Here is an 18,509-nt window from a genome sequence, read left to right on the forward strand (position 1 = left end):
ATTATATTTTGGTCAGAAGAGTGATATCTGATAGAGGCCACTTCAGAATCCTAATGTTTTCTTTATAGAAACCTCAAGACCAAGAAAAAGAGTAAGGACTAGTTCTTTGCAGATACAGCAATAATGGATGATTTGAGGTTACATGGAAACAAGATCATTGGAGACTTCCTTACCACAGCCACAGTTTTGCTCAATTTAAGCCTACACAGAGCCTACTTCTGCAGGATGTGCTGCAATTCTTGTGTGCTCTGTGAGGAAAACAACATCATCTATCTTATTCCCCATTGTATGCCCAGCTTAAGAGCACAAAGAGGGCATGCAACAAAAATGTGTTCAATGAATAAATGAATGTTGAATGCTTGCTAATGCATTTTTTAATTAATTAACTCGTTAGTTAATTTGTTAATTGAACAAACCTATTCTCAAAGTGTGGGTCAAGTTCGCTCACTCCATCCACAGCTATTACATGCCTGCTCAAGCCAAGCTAGGGGTGTGTTGAAATAATAAAGGCCTCCAGGCTCTTCCTTTGGGGCTCATTGAATATTTCCCGACACTTGACAGTTTATCAAGCGCTTTCCTGTGGATCATCTCATGGGGCTCATGTCTACAAAGCAAGCATGACTGCCATTTGACATTGGTGACAGTGAATGTCTGATAAATCAGGGATCTTGTTTCAGGTCACTCAGCTAGCAAGTGATACGGGCAAAATGAGGACTTAAGTCTTTGTACTCTAAATCCTGTTCTTTCTTCAGAAACCAGTGCCGCTCACCTTTAACTTCCTTATGAAACACTCGTAGATCTTGTTAACCTGAAGACACTGCTCCAGCAGGTCTGGGGGAAGGGGCCTGAGAATCAGAATTTCTAACAAGCTCCAGGCACTGCTGCTGCAGCTGATCTGTGGACCACACTTTAAGCATCAGGGCTCTTAACGAGACCACTGCTGTCTCACCTGACTCCAATCATCCCATATCTTACAGCTACTGGGGCCCAGAGGAAATAAGTATGTTAAGTTTGGCCCTTAATCTTGTTAGAGATAAAATTCAAAATAAATGCACAAAAACCTAACTGAGCTCAGCCATACACACTGGATCACCAAGGGTCCTGACTTTTAAGATTTCTACCTCTAGAAACCGAGACCACTGTAACTAAAATAGTATGGCATTAGATCATCAGGCTCAAAGTGCAGCATTGCCAATTCCAGCCATGCAACTTTGATAAAGTTATTTACCCTCTCTGAGGCTGGGAAAGGTTCATTTGGAAAATGGAGGATGTGTTAATACCACTAGAAGAGATGGTAGAAAAGTTTAATGAGGTGAGATCTGCTTATTCCTAAAATGGGTCTTTTCGAGGCAGTTAATGCGATCTGCTCTCACTTAAGCTAAAACAGGGTCACCCCTAAGGGGTGCACAGCACCAGACAAATATTTCCTGCAGGGTCTCTGCCTATACAATGAACTTCTTTTTTAAAAAATGTTTTACAAAATTCATAGGCTCATGTGAAATATAGTTACTTATTAATGAAGATTGAGAATAATAGGTGGAAAAGAGGTATTTACATAGTTGTTTTTTAATCAAATCAATGCAGAAGATTCTTCCTAGTGTGTCCAGGCACGATCTCCTCCTATTCAGATTCAAGAACCATCTCTCCATGTTCCTTTTCATCAGGTGAACAATTCCTTGTTAATTTTACATTTCTGCTGCAAGAAAAAAAAATAGCAACAATTATTCCTTACACTGCCATGGCTCCTTCTTAACCTGTTTGCTTTGAAACAATATAGATCTTCACCCAGCTGCTGTCTCCTAACTCTAACTATTAATGCTGATTACAGCATTACTTACACAGCTGCATCACCTTCCAATGACTCTAAGAGGTTGCCACTGAGCTTTGTTAATAATGACCACAAATCCAAGTCTTACCCAATGTATGCAGACCAAGACTATGATGATTAATGTTCTCTGTGTGTTAAATTTACTGTTCCAAATTGAATGGGTTAAAAAGTAGAACAACCCATCTTCCCACCGTGTCTTCTTTTGAACTCTGTAGATTGCAATTGCTGCATTTATAGAATGTGATTGCTTTTAGTGTTGATTGGCCTCTACCTTCCATGTAACTACCACAGGGAGCATAGGTGAGTTTCTATGGCCAGAGGAAGACAAATGAGATGTCCCTTTAGTGCAAGCCATGTTCATCCCTTGCCTCATGTGCCATAGGACTGACCTGGGAGGGCAAGACTATCACATCTCCTGAGGCAGGAGAGGACATGTGAGTCCCTGTGGTGATACAGAGCCGTGGTCTAGGGAGCCCGTGAAGAAGACATGTGTGACCGCTCCTGACACCTGATGTGGAACCTATGGAGGGGATGGGGTAGCCAACCCAGGTGTCGGAGTTGGGGGCCCACCATTCTTAGGAACTGATTCTCTACATGAATGGTAGAGAATACTTGCATGGCTTACATGTGTCGCTAAGCCCAGGGTCTGCAGGGGACTCTCTGTAGCCAGAGCTACACTGTCCTATGTCTGCTGTGAGAATTACCCCAAATCAAGGTGTCAGCACCATTCTGGCTGCAGAACCTCATACAGTTATACCTACAGTGGGAGCAGTCAACTTCTTGGCCACCTTCCTGGAAGCTAGGTGGCAGATTGACCCCACATGTGAATATTTGCAATTAGACATTCAGAAAGTGCCCTGAACAGGAGGAACCTGGACCGGGTCCATGGGAATTCCCACTTGGCTCAAACACCCCACCAGACTCATCCCAGGCACAGATGAAGGTATTTAAAATTTTTCTAGCATGTTGTTTCAAAGCAATGGGGCTTCTGAAGGCAAGGCCAGGGCAGGGGTTCCCTTCTCCGACCCTAATGATTTTAGGGCTGTGTAATGGCAGGAATGGGTTAGAGAGGACAGAGGCTTAGCTCTAGACTTCTCCTAGCATCCTAGGGCAGACTTGGCACCACCTGGGGGTGGTGGGGAGCCCCTCTCCTCTGAATGTCTGTTCTCTGCTAATAGCAAAGTGGACACTTAGAGACCAAAGGGACATGGGCCCCCTTTTAACAGCCTGCTGGGGTCAGGAGTGAGGCAGGCTCTGGGCAGTGATGGATTGATCAGGAAGGGACTTTAGCCTCTGCACAGCCCAGGTGATGGGTGATTCCCTGCACAGGATAGGCTGATGGGAAACCCTTAGCTAGGCCTGCCACACCCAGAAACCACCCCTGGGTGGTGAGCGAGGGCCCACAGACTGCAGGAAAGTAGAATTTCTCCTTAAGCAGAATAAACTTCCTGTCCATTTAGATAACCATCTGATGAACAAGAAGACAGCTTCCATTCTTGAGGAGCTTCAAATTAGATGGGAGTGGCGGAGGGGAGGGAGGGAAAATTTTTAACAACAACAACAATAATAGACCAATGGAATAGAGAGGGAGGGGAGAACTAAGCAAGTATTATTTGGCCGCCACTATTGCCAAGCCTTATGTGACCTCAGTCCTTCATTTAATTCTCCCAATAACCCTGGAGGTGCTTTCACTAGTCCCATTTTGCAGATGAGAAAATTGAGCTCAGCAAAATTTCAGTAACTTCCCCAAAGCCACACAGCTAACAAACGATACAGTCAAAATGAGAATGCAGCTTTGTTTCTTAATCCCTGTCTGTTTACATCTCTTTTTTTATTATTATTATTGTACTTTAAGTTTTTAGGGTACATGTGCACAACGTGCAGATTTGTTACATATGTATACATATGCCATGTTGGTGTGCTGCACCCATTAACTTGTCATTTAACATTCGGTATATCTCCTAATGCTATCCGTCCCCGCTCCCCCCACCCAACAACAGGCCCCAGTGTGTGATGTTCCCCTTCCTGTGTCCATGTGTTCTCATTGTTCAATTCCCACCTATGAGTAAGAACATGCGGTGTTTGGTTTTTTGTCCTTGCAATAGTTTGCTGAGAATGATGGTTTCTAGCTTCATCCATGTCCCTACAAAGGACATGAACTCATCATTTTTATGGCTGCACAGTATTCCATGGTGTATATGTGCCACATTTTCTTAATCCAGTCTATCATTGTTGGACATTTGGGTTGGTTCCAAGTCTTTGCTATTGTGAATAGTGCCGCAATAAACATATGTGTGCATGTGTCTTTATAGCAGCATGATTTATAATCCTTTGGGCATATACCCAGTAATGGGATAGCTGGGTCAAATGGTATTTCTAGTTCCAGATCCCTGAGGAATCGCCACACTGACTTCCATAATGGTTGAACTAGTTTACAGACCCAACAACAATGTAAAAGTGTTCCTATTTCTCCACATCCTCTCCAGCACCTGTTGTTTCCTGACTTTTTAATAATCGCCATTCTAACTGGTGTGAGATGGTATCTCATTGTGGTTTTGATTTGCATTTCTCTAATGGCCAGTGATGATGAACATTTTTCCATGTGTCTTTTGGCTGCATAAATGCCTTCTTTTGAGAAGTGTCTGTTCATATCCTTTGCGCACTTTTTGATGGGGTTGTTTGTTTTTTTCTTGTAAATTTGTTGGAGTTCATTGTAGATTCTGGTTATTAGCCCTTTGTCAGATGAGTAGATTGCAAAAATTTTCTCCCATTCTGTAGGTTGCCTGTTCACTCTGATGGTGGTTTCTTCTGCTGTGCAGAAGCTCTTTAGTTCAATTAGATCCCATTTGTCAATTTTGGCTTTTGTTGCCATTGCTTTTGGTGTTTTAGACATGAAGTCCTTGCCCATGCCTATGTCCTGAATGGTATTACCTAGGTTTTCTTCTAGGGTTTTTATGGTTTTAGGTCTAACATTTAAGTCTTTAATCCATAGTAAATTAATTTTTGTATAAGGTGTAAGGAAGGGATCCAGTTTCAGCTTTCTATATATGGCTAGCCAGTTTTCCCAGCACCATTTATTAAATAGGGAATCCTTTCCCCATTGCTTGTTTTTGTCAGGTTTGTCAAAGATCAGATAGTTGTACATATGCAGCATTATTTCTGAGGGCTCTGTTCTGTTCCATTGGTCTACATCTCTGTTTTGGTACAAGTACCATGCTGTTTTGGTTACTGTAGCCTTGTAGTGTAGTTTGAAGTCAGGTAGCGTGATGCCTCCAGCTTTGTTCTTTTGGCTTAGGATTGACTTGGCAATGCGGGCTCTTTTTTGGTTCCATATGAACTTTAAAGTAGTTTTTTCCAATTATCTGAAGAAAGTCATTAGTAGCTTGATGGGGATGGCATTGAATCTATAAATTACCTTGGGCAGTATGGCCATCTTCACAATATTGATTCTTCCTACCCATGAGCATGGAATGTTCTTCCGTTTGTTTGTATCCTCTTTTATTTCATTGAGCAGTGGTTTGTAGTTCTCCTTGCAGAGGTCCTTCACATCCCTTGTAAGTTGGATTCCTAGGTATTTTATTCTCTTTGAAGCAATTGTGAGTGGGAGTTCACTCACGATTTGGCTCTCTGTTTGTCTGTTATTGGTGTATAGGAATGCTTGTGATTTTTGCACATTGATTTTGTATCCTGAGACTTTGCTGAAGTTGCCTATCAGCTTAAGGAGATTTTAGGTTGAGACAATGGGGTTTTCTAGATATACAATCATGTCAGCTGCAAACAGGGACAATTTGACTTCCTCTTTTCCTAATTGAATGCCCTTTATTTCCTTCTCCTGCCTAATTGCCCTGGCCAGAACTTCCAACACTATGTTGAATATTTGTGGTGAGAGAGGGCATCCCTGTTTTTTGCCAGTTTTCAAAGGGAATGCTTCCAGTTTTTGCCCATTGAGTATGATATTGGCTGTGGGTTTGTCATAGATAGCTCTTATTATTTTGAGATATGTCCCATCAATATCTAATTTATTGAGAGTTTTTATCATAAAGAGTTGTTGAATTTTGTCAAAGGCCTTTTCTGCATCTATTGAGATAGCCGTGTGGTTTTTGTCATTAGTTCTGTCTATATGCTGGATTAGGTTTATTGATTTTCCTATGTTGAACCAGCCTTGCATCCCAGGGATGAAGCCCACTTGATCATGGTGGATAAGCTTTTTGATGTGCTGCTGGATTCAGTTTGCCAGTATTTTATTGAGGATTTTTGCATCGATGTTCATCAGGTATATTGGTCTAAAATTCTCTTTTTTTGTTGTGTCTCTGCCAGACTTTGGTATCAGGATGATGCTGGCCTCATAAAATGAGTTAGGGAGGATTCCCTCTTTTTCTATTGATTAGAATAGTTTCAGAAGGAATAGTACCAGCTCCTCCTTGTACCTCTGGTAGAATTCAGCTGTGAATCCATCTGGTCCTGGACTTTTTTTGGTTGGTAAGCTATTAATTATTGCCTCAATTTCAGAGCCTATTATTGGTCTATTCAGAGATTCAACTTCTTCCTGGTTTAGTCTTGTGAGAGTGTATGTGTCGAGGAATTTATCCATTTCTTCTAGATTTTCTAGTTTATTTGCATAGACGTGTTTATAGTATTCTCTGATGGTAGTTTGTGTTTCTGTGGGATCGTTGGTGATATCCCCTTTATCATTTTTTATTGCATCTATTTGATTCTTCTCTCTTTTCTTCTTTATTAGTCTTGTTTGCTAGTGGTCTATCAATTTTGTTGATCTTTTCAAAAAACCAGCTTCTGGATTTATTGATTTTTTGAAGGGTTTTTTGTGTCTCTATTTCCTTCAGTTCTGCTCTGATCTTAGTTATTTCTTGCCTTCTGCTAGCTTTTGAATGTGTTTGCTCTTGCTTCTCTAGTTATTTTAATTGTGATGTTAGGGTGTCAGTTTTAGATCTTTCCTACTTTCTCTTGTGGGCATTTAGTGCTATAAATTTCCCTCTACACACTGTTTTGAATGTGTCCCAGAGATTTTGGAATGTTTTGTCTTTGTTTTCATTGGTTTCAAAGAACATCTTTATTTCTGCCTTCATTTCATTATGTACCCAGTAGTCATTCAGGAGCAGGTTGTTCAGTTTCTATGTAGTTGAGCGGTTTTGAGTGAGTTTCTTAATCCTGTGGTCTAGTTTGATTGCACTGTGGTCTGAGAGACAGTTTGTTATAATTTTTGTTCTTTTACATTTGCTAAGGAGTGCTTTACTTCCAACTATGTGGCCAATTTTGGAATAGGTGTGGTGTGGTGCTGAGAAGAATGTATATTCTGTTGATTTGGGGTGGAGAGTTCTGTAGATGTCTATTAGGTCTGCTTGGTGCAGAGCTGAGTTCAATTCCTGGATATCCTTGTTAACTTTCTGTCTCTTGATCTGTCTAATGTTGACAGTGGGGTGTTAAAGTCTCCCATTATTATAGTGCGGGAGTCTAAGTCTATTTGTAGGCCTCTAAGGACTTGCTTTATGAATCTGGGTGCTCCTGTATTAGGTGCATATATATTTAGGATAGTTAGCTCTTCTTGTTGAATTGATCCCTTTACCATTATGTAATGGCCTTCTTTTTCTCTTTTGATCTTTGTTGGTTTAAAGTCTGTTTTATCAGAGACTAGAGTTGCAACCCCTGCCTTTTTTTGTTTTCCATTTGCTTGGTAGATCTTCCTCCATCCCTTTATTTTGAGCCTATGTGTGTCTCTGCACGTGAGATGGGTTTCCTGAATACAGCACAGTGATAGGTCTTGACTCTTTATCCAATTTGCCAGTCTGTGTCTTTTAATTGGAGCATTTAGCCCATTTACATTTAAGGTTAATATTGTTATGTATCAATTTGATCCTGTCATGATGGTGTTAGCTGGCAATTTTGCTCATTAGTTGATGCAGTTTCTTCCTAACCTCGATGGTCTTTACAACTCGGCATGTTTTTCCAGTGGCTGGTACTGGCTTTTCCTTTCCATATTTAGTGCTTCCTTCAGGAGCTCTTTTAGGTCAGGCCTGGTGGTGACAAAATCTCTCAGCATTTGCTTGTCTGTAAAGTGTTTTATTTCTCCTTCACTTATGAAGCTTAGTTTGGCTGGATATGAAATTCTGGGTTGAAAATTCTTTTCTTTAAGAATGTTGAATATTGGCCCCCACTCTCTTCTGGCTTGTAGAGTTTCTGCCAAGAGATCCGCTGTTAGTCTAATGGGCTTCCCTTTGTGGGTTACCCGACCTTTCTCTCTGGCTGCCCTTACCATTTTTTCCTTCATTTCAACTTTGGTGAATCTGACAATTATGTGTCTTGGAGTTGCTCTTCTCAAGGAGTATCTTTGTGGTGTTCTCTGTATTTCCTGAATTTCAATATTGGCCTGCCTTGCTAGATTGGGGACATTCTCCTGGATAATATCCTGCAGAGTGTTTTCCATCTTGGTTCCATTCTCCCCATCACTTTCAGGTACACCAGTCAGATGTAGATTTGGTCTTTTCACATAGTCTGGTCTTTTCACATAGTCCCATATTTCTTGGAGGCTTTGTTTTTTTTTATTCTTTTTCTCTAAACTTCTCTTCTCACTTCACTTCATTCATTTGTTCTTCCATCACTGATACCCTTTCTTCCAAATGATTGAGTCAGCTACTGAAGCTTGTGCATTGGTCATGTAGTTCTCGTTCCATGGTTTTCAGCTCCATCAGGTCCTTTAAGGACTTCTCTGCATTGGTTATTCTAGTTAGCCATTCATCTAATTTTTTTTCAAGATTTTTAACTTCTTTGCCATGGGTGCAAACTTCCTCCTTTAGCTCAGAGTAGTTTGATCATCTGAAGCCTTCTCTCAACTTGTCAAAGTCGTTCTCCATCCAGCTTTGTTCCATTGCTGGTGAGGAGCTGCATTCTTTTGGAGGAGGAGAGGTGCTCTGATTTTTAGAGTTTCCAGTTTTTCTGCTCTGTTTTTTCCCCATGTTTGTGGTTTTATCTACCTTTGATCTTTGATGATGGTGACGTACAGACGGGGTTTTGGTGTGGATGTCCTTTCTGTTTGTTAGTTTTCCTTCTAACAGTCAAGACCCTCATCTGCAGGTCTATTGGAGTTTGCTGGAGGTCCACTCCAGACCCTGTTTGCCTGGGTATCAGCAGCGGAGGCTGCAGAACAGCAGATATTGGTGAACAGCAAATGTTGCTGCCTGATCGTTCCTCTGGAAGTTTTGTCTCAGAGGAGTACCCGGCCGTGTGAGGTGTCAGTCTACCCCTACTAGGGAGGGCCTCCCAGTTAGGCTACTCAGGGTTCAGGGACCCACTTGAGGAGACAGTCTGTCCATTCTCAGATCTCAAGCTGTGTGTGGGAGAACCACTGCTCTCTTCAAAACTGTCAGACAGGGACATTTAAGTCTGCAGAGGTTTCTGCTGCCTTTTGTTTGGCTATGCCCTGCCCCCAGAGGTGGAGTCTACAGAGGCAGGCAGGCCTCCTTTAGCTGCGGTGAGCTCCACCCAGTTCGAGCTTCCCAGCCGCTTTATTTACCTACTCAAGCCTCGGCAATGGCAGGCACCCCTCCCCCAGCCTCGCTGCTGTCTTGCAGTTTGATCTCAGACTGCTGTGCTAGCAATGAGTGAGGCTCCGTGGGTGTAGGACCCTCCGAGCCACGCATGGGATATAATCTCCTGGTGTGCCATTTGCTAAGACTGTTGGAAAAGGGCAGTATTAGGGTGGGAGTGACCCAATTTTCCAGGTGCCATCTGTCACCCCTTTCTTTGACTAGGAAAGGGAATTCTCTGACCCCTTGCACTTCCTGGGTGAGGCGATGCCTCGCCCTGCTTCGGCTCATGCTCACTGCGCTGTACCCACTGTCCTGCACCCATTGTCTGACACTCCCCAGTGAGATGAACCCAGTACCTCAGTTGGAAATGAAGAAATCACCCAACTTCTGGGTCACTAACATTGGGAGCTGTAGACTGGAGCTGTTCCTATTCGGCCATCTGGGCTCCACCCCCCTGTTTACATTTCTTATTTGTTTTTGTTTTTTTTTGCTTTTTCCATGCTCCATTGCCTCCCTTACTATACCTGGTCCACCTGAAACATATATTTGGAATGTAATGTTAGTAGAGATTGTATGTATAAGGTAGGAAGAAAAAAGAGGAAGAAAAATAGAAACACATCCAGAAGACAGGGAAGTTGAGCTGTGAGAGAAGGTTGGGGTTTTGGCAAGAAAATATTGGGGAATATTTATAAGAACAAAAAGAAGATGTTTGTCAACCTGTTTGTTTTTTAATGGGTAGTTTCTTTTGCATAGAAAAAAAGACTTTGCATTGCTTCATCAGTTTAGATTATTAGAGGTCTATAAAACATGGACCACATGTGGCAAAATACAAAAGAATAGTGGACATAAAGTCAGAAAGCCAAGCCCAGCCCTCCTTACCTTGGGGAAGTCACTTTACCTCCATTCATTTATAAAATGAGAATAAAAATTATCTGTGTAACTTACATAGAGTTAAGTTGCCTCATGGGGCATAACATCACGTTATTTAAGTGTCAATCTGGCCAGGTGTTGTGGCTCACACCTGTAATCCCAGCACTTTAGGAGATGGAGGTGGGTGGATCACGAGGTCAGGAGTTAGAGAACAGCCTGGCCAACATGGTGAAACCCCATCTCCACTAAAAATACAAAATTAGCCGGGTGTGGTGGCACACACCTGTAGTTTTAGCTACTTGGGAGGCTGAGGCAGGATAATTGCTTGTGCTCAGGAGGCAGAGGTTGCAGTGAGATGAGATTGTGGCACTGCACTCCAGCCTGGGTGACAGAGTGCAACTCTGTCTCAAAAAAAAAAAAAAAAGTAAATCTAACAGCCTAAATATGCTGAAAGGCAACTTTGTTCTTTACTGAAGTTTCATTAAAAGATAAAGAATCCCACTCACACCTTATAAAACTTATAAAATTCTTTCCCAACTTCTCTTTTATTATCCCCACCAAAGAGCAGCTGCCTTCAATCTCTAGTCTTTCCTCCTTCAAAATTCCAACGCTCTCTCAAAACAACCTCCACTCCTCTTCTCTCCTCCCCTCTGCTTCTCTTCTCTCCTCTTCTTTCCTCTCCTGTCCCCTTCTCTGGTTATTCTTCTTTCCTTCCTCCTTCCTTCCCTCCCTCCTACACTTCTCTCCTCCCATCTTACACACATTGTCTACTAAAACAACCTAGGCTGCCAGATTTCTCCAGTTCTCTGCCTCACCTATAATCACAGACATCATAAGAAGAGGGTTAGGCACTGGGCAAGCTAATGGAGACCTCTTTTCAAAAGACCAAGCATAGAGGAGATAGTGAATATACACATGTCACTGTGTTTTATCCCTGTCACATGGTTATCATGCTAGGCTGTTATGAAGGTCAGATGACATTATGCTACCAAATGCTTCCACCAGGAAAGGATATTGATTATTCTTTTCTCCTATGTGATGACCCCTCAGCACACTTTTCTCCATTGTGCTTTAAGAGTTCCATACTTCAATTTGTATTTGGAAATATGCCTATAACTACTATATCCGAGAGGAAAAATATCTTTTCCTCTATCTTCCTATGTTCAGTATCTGCAGGTCAGTGAATTAAATTGAAAACAGGCAGAAGCAGGATAAAAATTTATTGATGTAGCTATATTCATACACATGAGGTGCTCAAGGATTAGTAAGTCAAAGTGGTGGTTAAAATTTGGGGTGGATACACCTAACTTAGTAGGGAAAAGAAGGAGGGGGAAAGGCTCCAATGGGAAGGATATGAGGGTTTCTTTAGGAAAGACAAATGGGTTTTTAAAAGAACAAATGAGAGATAAGAAAGTTTGTGATAATGTTTGCCTATGCAGATACCATTGGTCTTTCTATCCACTTTAGGGCCATAACACTGCTCCAGGAAGAGAACTGGGGTAAGTTTTATTTGCATTTTTCATTCCAAGAGTGGATTCAGTCTGAAGTGGCAATTTATACAAGCTTCATTTTCCAAAAGTTGCTGCTTTTAGTCAAAGAAGGGAAACTCCAAGAAGGCTTCTTTCTGCATCTGTCTTCAAATCTCAGATGTCTTCAGCTTAAAATAGTCATTATATTAATGACATCAAGAGACAGAGTAAAAAGATATTTCTCAACTTATCCTTTTTTTAAAAAAAGTTTGAGTAAATGATAGTACAAGAATATAAAGATGTCAAAATCATGATGATAGTTCGTGAGTTACCAAGTGAGAAATGTCATCCCCAGCCTGTTATGAAACAATGCATTGATAGAACAATCTGAATTAACATCTCGACTCCTGACTGGGGCTGCAACTGAGACAGATGGTGAGGCCTGAGCTGTTGCTCCTTTGCTCTTAAAGAAGAAAAGGCAATCACGAGTCTTCTCTCTAGCAAGCACAACACCCAAGACTACCCTTTTTATATCCTATGAAACTTTCAAGTCTTGCAGCCTCCAGCGTCCCTTCCTCTGAATTAACACAATAACATTTTTGCCTTTATTAGCTTTTCTGACACATTAACTCTCACATCTGAATTACTGGATAGGTAGAATCTGCCATACGTAAGCCAACCATACTGGGTGATTATAAAGCTGTGGGAGATTAGAATTCACCCTGGGATTCTTTGAAGAGATCTCAATGTTGATATGAGCCGTAAACATCCTCCTTTTCTTTCCAGCTAATTACTGAAGTGCTATCACCTCTCTGATAAGATACTAACAGTGATCGTGGCTGTGGACCTAATTAGGAAGCTCCCCAAATATTTCATGTTGTCCAGGGATGCCATAGTATTCTTCTAGACTGTGTCAACACAGCTGGGTATAAAAAGCAATGCTACTACTTCCAAACTCCCTGTTGATGGGGACAACTTGGTTTCATCATCAATAAGAATACAGAAATTGTTCAGTCCTCAATTCTTAAGACCATAACTGTCTTTTAAATGAAACTGTCACATCACCTCTTAGGATTTCTAGGTTTCTTGTTTTCTTTTTTCTTTTGCTGCTTCTGGAAATTTTGCTGAGAGGTTTGTAATTTCTTAAACACAGAGGCCGTAGCAATAAGGACTTTAAGCTCATGATAAAAAAATACATTTAAAATACACACATACTGCCAGATTGTTTTTGTTTGTTTGTTTTGATGCAGTGTCTCACTCTGTCACCCAGGCTGGAGTGCAGTGTCATAATCATGACTCACTGCAGCCTTGGACTTCTGGGCTGAAGCCATCCTGCCTCCTTAGCCTCCCGAGTAACTGGGGGTTACAGTCATGTGCCACCATGCCTGGCTATTTAAAAAAAAAATTTGTAGAGATGGGGTTCCACTATGTTGCCCAGGCTAGTCTCAAACTCCTGGGGTCAATCAATCTTCCCAACTCAGCTTTCCAAAGTGCTGGGATTACAGGTGAGAGCCGTGCTGTGCCTGCCTTTTTTTTTTTCTAATCTTACTTTGGCTTATTTAGAAAACTGATTGTTTTCCAGGCAACAGAAAATATTTTTTTTTCATCATCTTTGACTTAGGGCATTGTCTTTGCTTACCTGTACATTTTTTAGAAAAGTTGCAAGGTTTTATAGTTGACCTAGTTCTTCATAAATACCTTTCAGGCAAAATTCAGAAGTATTAATGAAATACCAAACACTCCATTATCTGAAATTTGGGAAAAAGGATAAAATACATACATTTCTGGGCAACATTTTTGGAAAAGTTGCTCTTGGTGACTGAATTTTAATCACCTGTTTAGAGATTTCAGTTTTCCCATCCCAGTCCTGAAGACCAAGAAAGTATTCCTAGCAAGCTGCACTGCCTCACATTTTTCTGAGTCTTTGTATTTTCTAAAGGACTTCCACATGTATTATAATGTTTAGGTGTCACATAGGCTGACCAAGGTACCAGTTTGTCCAGGACTGTCCTGGTTTTAGCACTGAAAGTCTTGTGATCCAGGAAACCCTTCAGTCCTGGGCAAATTGGGATGGTTTTTACTGTAGCACAGCCACCTCATGAGTTAGAGAGGGAAGAGTTTATGACCATTTTAGACTGCTAGCAAGACTAATAAAGAAGAAAAGAGAGAAGAATCAAATAGACACAATAAAAAATGACAAAGGGGATATCACCACCGATCCCACAGAAATACAAACTACCGTCAGAGAATAGTATAAACACCTCTATGCAAATAAACTAGAAAATCTAGAAGAAATGGATAAATTCCTCAACACATACACTCTCCCAAGAGTAAACCAGGAAGAAGTTGAATCTCTGAATAGACCAATAACAGGCTCTGAAATTGAGGCAATAATTAATAGCTTACTAACCAAACAAAAGTCCAGGATCAGATGGATTCACAGCCGAATTCTACCAGAGGTACAAAGAGGAGCTGGTACTATTCCTTCTGAAACTATTCTAATCAATAGAAAAAGAGGGAATCCTCCCTAACTCATTTTATGAGGCCAGCATCATCCTAATACCAAAGCCTTGCAGAGACACAACAAAAAAAGAGAATTTTAGACCAATATACCTGATGAACATCGATGCAAAAATCCTCAATAAAATACTGGCAAACCGAATACAGCAACACATCAAAAAGCTTCTCCACCATGATAAAGTGGGCTTCATCCCTGGGATGCAAGGCTGGTTCAACATATGAAAATCAATAAACATAATCCAGCATATAAACAGAACCAAAGACAAAAACCACATGATTATCTCAATAGATGCAGAAAAGGCCTTTGACAAAATTCAACAACTCTTCATGCTAAAAACTCTCAATAAATTAGTTATTGATGGGACATATCTCAAAATAATAAGAGCTATCTATGACAAACCCACAGCCAATATCATACTGAATGGACAAAAACTGGAAACATTCCCTTTGAAAACTGGCACAAGACAGGGATGCCCTCTCTCACCACTCCTATTCAACATAGTGTTGGAAGTTCTGGCCAGGGCAATCAGCCAAGAGAAGGAAATAAAGGGCATTCAATTAGGAAAAGAGGAAGTCAAATTGTCCCTGTTTGCAGCTGACATGATTGTATATTTAGAAAATCCCATCGTCTCAGCCCAAAATCTCCTTAATCTGATAAGCAACTTCAGCAAAGTCTCAGGATACAAAATCAATGTGCAAAAATCACAAGCATTCCTATACACCATTAACAGACAGAGAGCCAAATCATGAGTGAACTCCCACTCACAATTGCTTCAAAGAGAATAAAATACCTAGGAATCCAACTTACTGCGATGTGAAGGACCTCTTCAAGGAGAACTACAAACCACTGCTCAATGAAATAAAAGAGGATACAAACAAACGGAAGAACATTCCATGCTCATGGGTAGGAAGAATCAATATTGTGAAAAAGGCCATACTGCCCAAGGTAATTTATAGATTCAATGCCACACCCAATCAAGCTACCAATGACTTTCTTCACAGAATTGGAAAAAACTACTATAAAGTTCATATGGAACCAAAAAAGAGCCCATATTGCAAAGTCAATCCTAAGCCAAAAGAACAAAGCTGGAGGCATCACGCTACCTGACTTCAAACTACACTACAAGGCTACAGTAACCAAAACAGCATGGTACTTGTACCAAAACAGAGATATAGACCAATGGAACAGAACAGAGCCCTCAGAAATAATGCTGCATATGTACAACTATCTGATCTTTGACAAACCTGACAAAAACAAGCAATGGGGAAAGGATTCCCTATTTAATAAATGGTGCCGGGAAAACTGGCTAGCCATGTATAGAAAGCTGAAACTGGATCCCTTCCTTACACCTTATACAAAAATTAATTTAATGTGGATTAAAGACTTACATGTTAGACCGAAAACCATAGAAACCCTAGAAGAAAACCTAGGCAATACCATTCAGGACATAGGCATGGGCAAGGACTTCATGTCTAAAACACCAAAAGCAATGGCAACAAAAGCCAAAATTGACAAATGGGATCTAATTAAACTAAAGAGCTTCTGCACAGCAGAAGAAACCACCATCAGAGTGAACAGGCAACCTACAGAATGGGAGAAAATTTTTGCAATCTACTCATCTGACAAAGGGCTAATATCCAGAATCTACAATGAACTCCAACAAATTTACAAGAAAAAAACAAACAACCCCATCAAAAAGTGGGCAAAGGATATGAACAGACACTTCTCAAAAGAAGACATTTATGCAGCCAAAAGACACATGAAAAAATGCTCATCATCACTGGCCATCAGAGAAATGCAAATCAAAACCACAATGAGATACCATCTCACACCAGTTAGAATGGCGATCATTAAAAGTCAGGAAACAACAGGTGCTGGAGAGGATGTGGAGAAATAGGAACACTTTTACACTGTTGGTGGGACTGTAAACTAGTTCAACCATTATGGAAGTCAATGTGGCGATTCCTCAGGGATCTAGAACTAGAAATACCATTTGACCCAGTCATCCCATTACTGGGTATATACCCAAAGGATTATAAATCATGCTGCTATAAAGACACATGCATACGTATGTTTATTGCGGCACTATTCACAATAGCAAAGACTTGGAACCAACCCAAATGTCCAACAATGATAGACTGGATTAAGAAAATGTGGCACATATACACCATGGAATTCTATGCAGCCATAAAAAATGACAAGTTCATGTCCTTTGTAGGGACATGGATGAAGCTGGAAACCATTATTCTCAGCAAACTATTCCAAGGACAAAAAACCAAACACTCATAGGTGGGAATTGAACAATGAGAACACATGGACACAGGAAGGGGAACATCACACACCGGGGCCTGTTGTGGGGCGGTGGGAGTGGAGAGGGATAGCATTAGGATATATACCTAATGCTAAATGAGGAGTTAATGGGTGCAGCACACCAACATGGCACATATATACATATGTAACAAACCTGCACGTTGCACACATGTACCCTAAAACTTGAAGTATAATAATAATAATAATAATAAAGAAAAAAAATGAAGTAAAGTTGTATTATATCACTTCCCCAAAGTCACAGAATATGTCTTTTTACTATGGTCCAGTTCTTTCTCTACTGAAATCTACACTATTAATCTTTCTTTGGGTCTCTGCGTTCTTCATGGGCAGGAATTTTATTATTTATCTCTGTATTCCTGCCCTGGGACAGCTCCATGGTCTGAGGAGGCTCTCCACAAATGTGTCCACATGTTTGTTGAAAGAAACACACTGTTAAAATATTGGGGATGATGGTTTTTCTTTTTAAGGGCTACAGTATAATTAATGGAGATCAAAGTGAAACACTACAAAAAAACTGAAATGAAGGGAAAAGCTGTTATCCAGTTTGGTCTTCATCTCGCCTCTCCTACCACAGTGCTCCACCATCTGGCTGCTACATTTCTTATAAGAGTTATCATCAACCTCTTCTAGATGTTGTTTTTATAATTATCCATGTTAAATATATCAAATCCAGTCACCTGTATCTTGAGAACTTCTCTCATTTCACATCCACATCTCCATTCTTACAGCTGAATTCTTATATGAGACCTTACTTCCCACCCTCCCTCCATTTCTGCCTTCATTTTCTCTCCTTTCCAGACTCATCTTCCTAAAATCTTCCTCTGCTATGTCACTCTCGTACTCATGAACTCACAATGGCTCCCTATTGCTTACCAACCAGTTGACATTGTCTTCTTATCACCCAAACTCCCTAAAAATCTCTTCCTGACCTACTTGATCTTATTTCTCACTCCTTCTGAAGTAAGCCTTCTATCTAAATCAAGAATCTTCCTCTCAATACTCTTATCCTGCCTCTGAGCTTGAAATATTTATGAAGCATCTGACAGATAGTTGGAAAAATAGATATAAGACCAGAGAGAGTAGGAGCTGGCTCTATTCTGAGTGGTGAGTACTTGGGGTCATTGGAGTAGATGAGGTCACCCAGGTCACGTATCTAAACCACAGCTCACAAAGAGGTGGCCTTTGTTCTGAGTTCAATTTTTATTAGGCCCCCCAGATAATTTTAAAAAGAAACATTGAAGTAGTTGGTAATATTTTCAAACACGGCCTTTTATATAAAAAAACACATTTCCAACTTCGTTTGAAAGGGTTTTAGACCTGGTCACCTGCGGCCAGTCCCCTCACCTGGCCACAATTAGCTGGACATGGTTTGTATTTGAAGTGAAATCCATGATCATCGAGTTCACACGAAGTCTCCTTTCCCCTTCATCTTCTCTACTTGGAATCTGTGACCCTTTGTGTAAAAGAAGTATAAGAGAGAAGAAAGGTGGAAAGAGAAGTCAAAGAGAAAGGGGAAGGAAGAGAGAGAAAAGGAGAAAATGGGAATGGAGAAGCACAGACAGAAGTGAAGAAACCCAAGAAAAGTGGGGTGTACAGGCTTTACTGCAAAGCTCAGAGTCTGAAGGAAGGAATCAGATGCTTAAGCTGGGCCAGGAGTAAAATTCCACCAAAAAAGAAAAAGAATGATCACATCCAAGATGACATTGAAACACATGGTCAAAGACTGAGAAGCTATGAAATCAGAGCCCATCTGAAATACACACTTCCCATTACCTTTGTCTGTCTCCACCTGTGAAGGCTTCAGGCATGTCGGGCATCAATTTGCATATAAGTGCCTGCCATTAGCAGTATGCTCTGTCTTTCATTTCTGTACATAACGCTCACTCACTGTCAAAACTAACACCTTCACACCAGGCGTTTCCCTTTGTCCACATGCTGGCCTGCTGTGA

The 18,509-nt window shown here is 40.9% G+C and overlaps 1 long non-coding RNA gene across 1 annotated transcript in view; it reads right to left on the reverse strand.

Annotated features, from left to right (window-relative positions):
- Positions 1 to 1,548: 1,548 nt before the first annotated feature.
- LINC02911 (long intergenic non-protein coding RNA 2911) overlaps positions 1,549 to 18,509 on the reverse strand; it is a 73,031-nt gene continuing 56,070 nt past the window's right edge. The window contains exon 8 of the long non-coding RNA XR_007065207.1: positions 1,549 to 1,696. This is a non-coding gene — a long non-coding RNA (long intergenic non-protein coding RNA 2911). The remainder of the gene's footprint in view (positions 1,697 to 18,509) is intronic.

This window comes from Homo sapiens, chromosome 16, assembly GCF_000001405.40.
Source record: "Homo sapiens chromosome 16, GRCh38.p14 Primary Assembly".
NCBI lineage: Eukaryota > Metazoa > Chordata > Mammalia > Primates > Hominidae > Homo > Homo sapiens.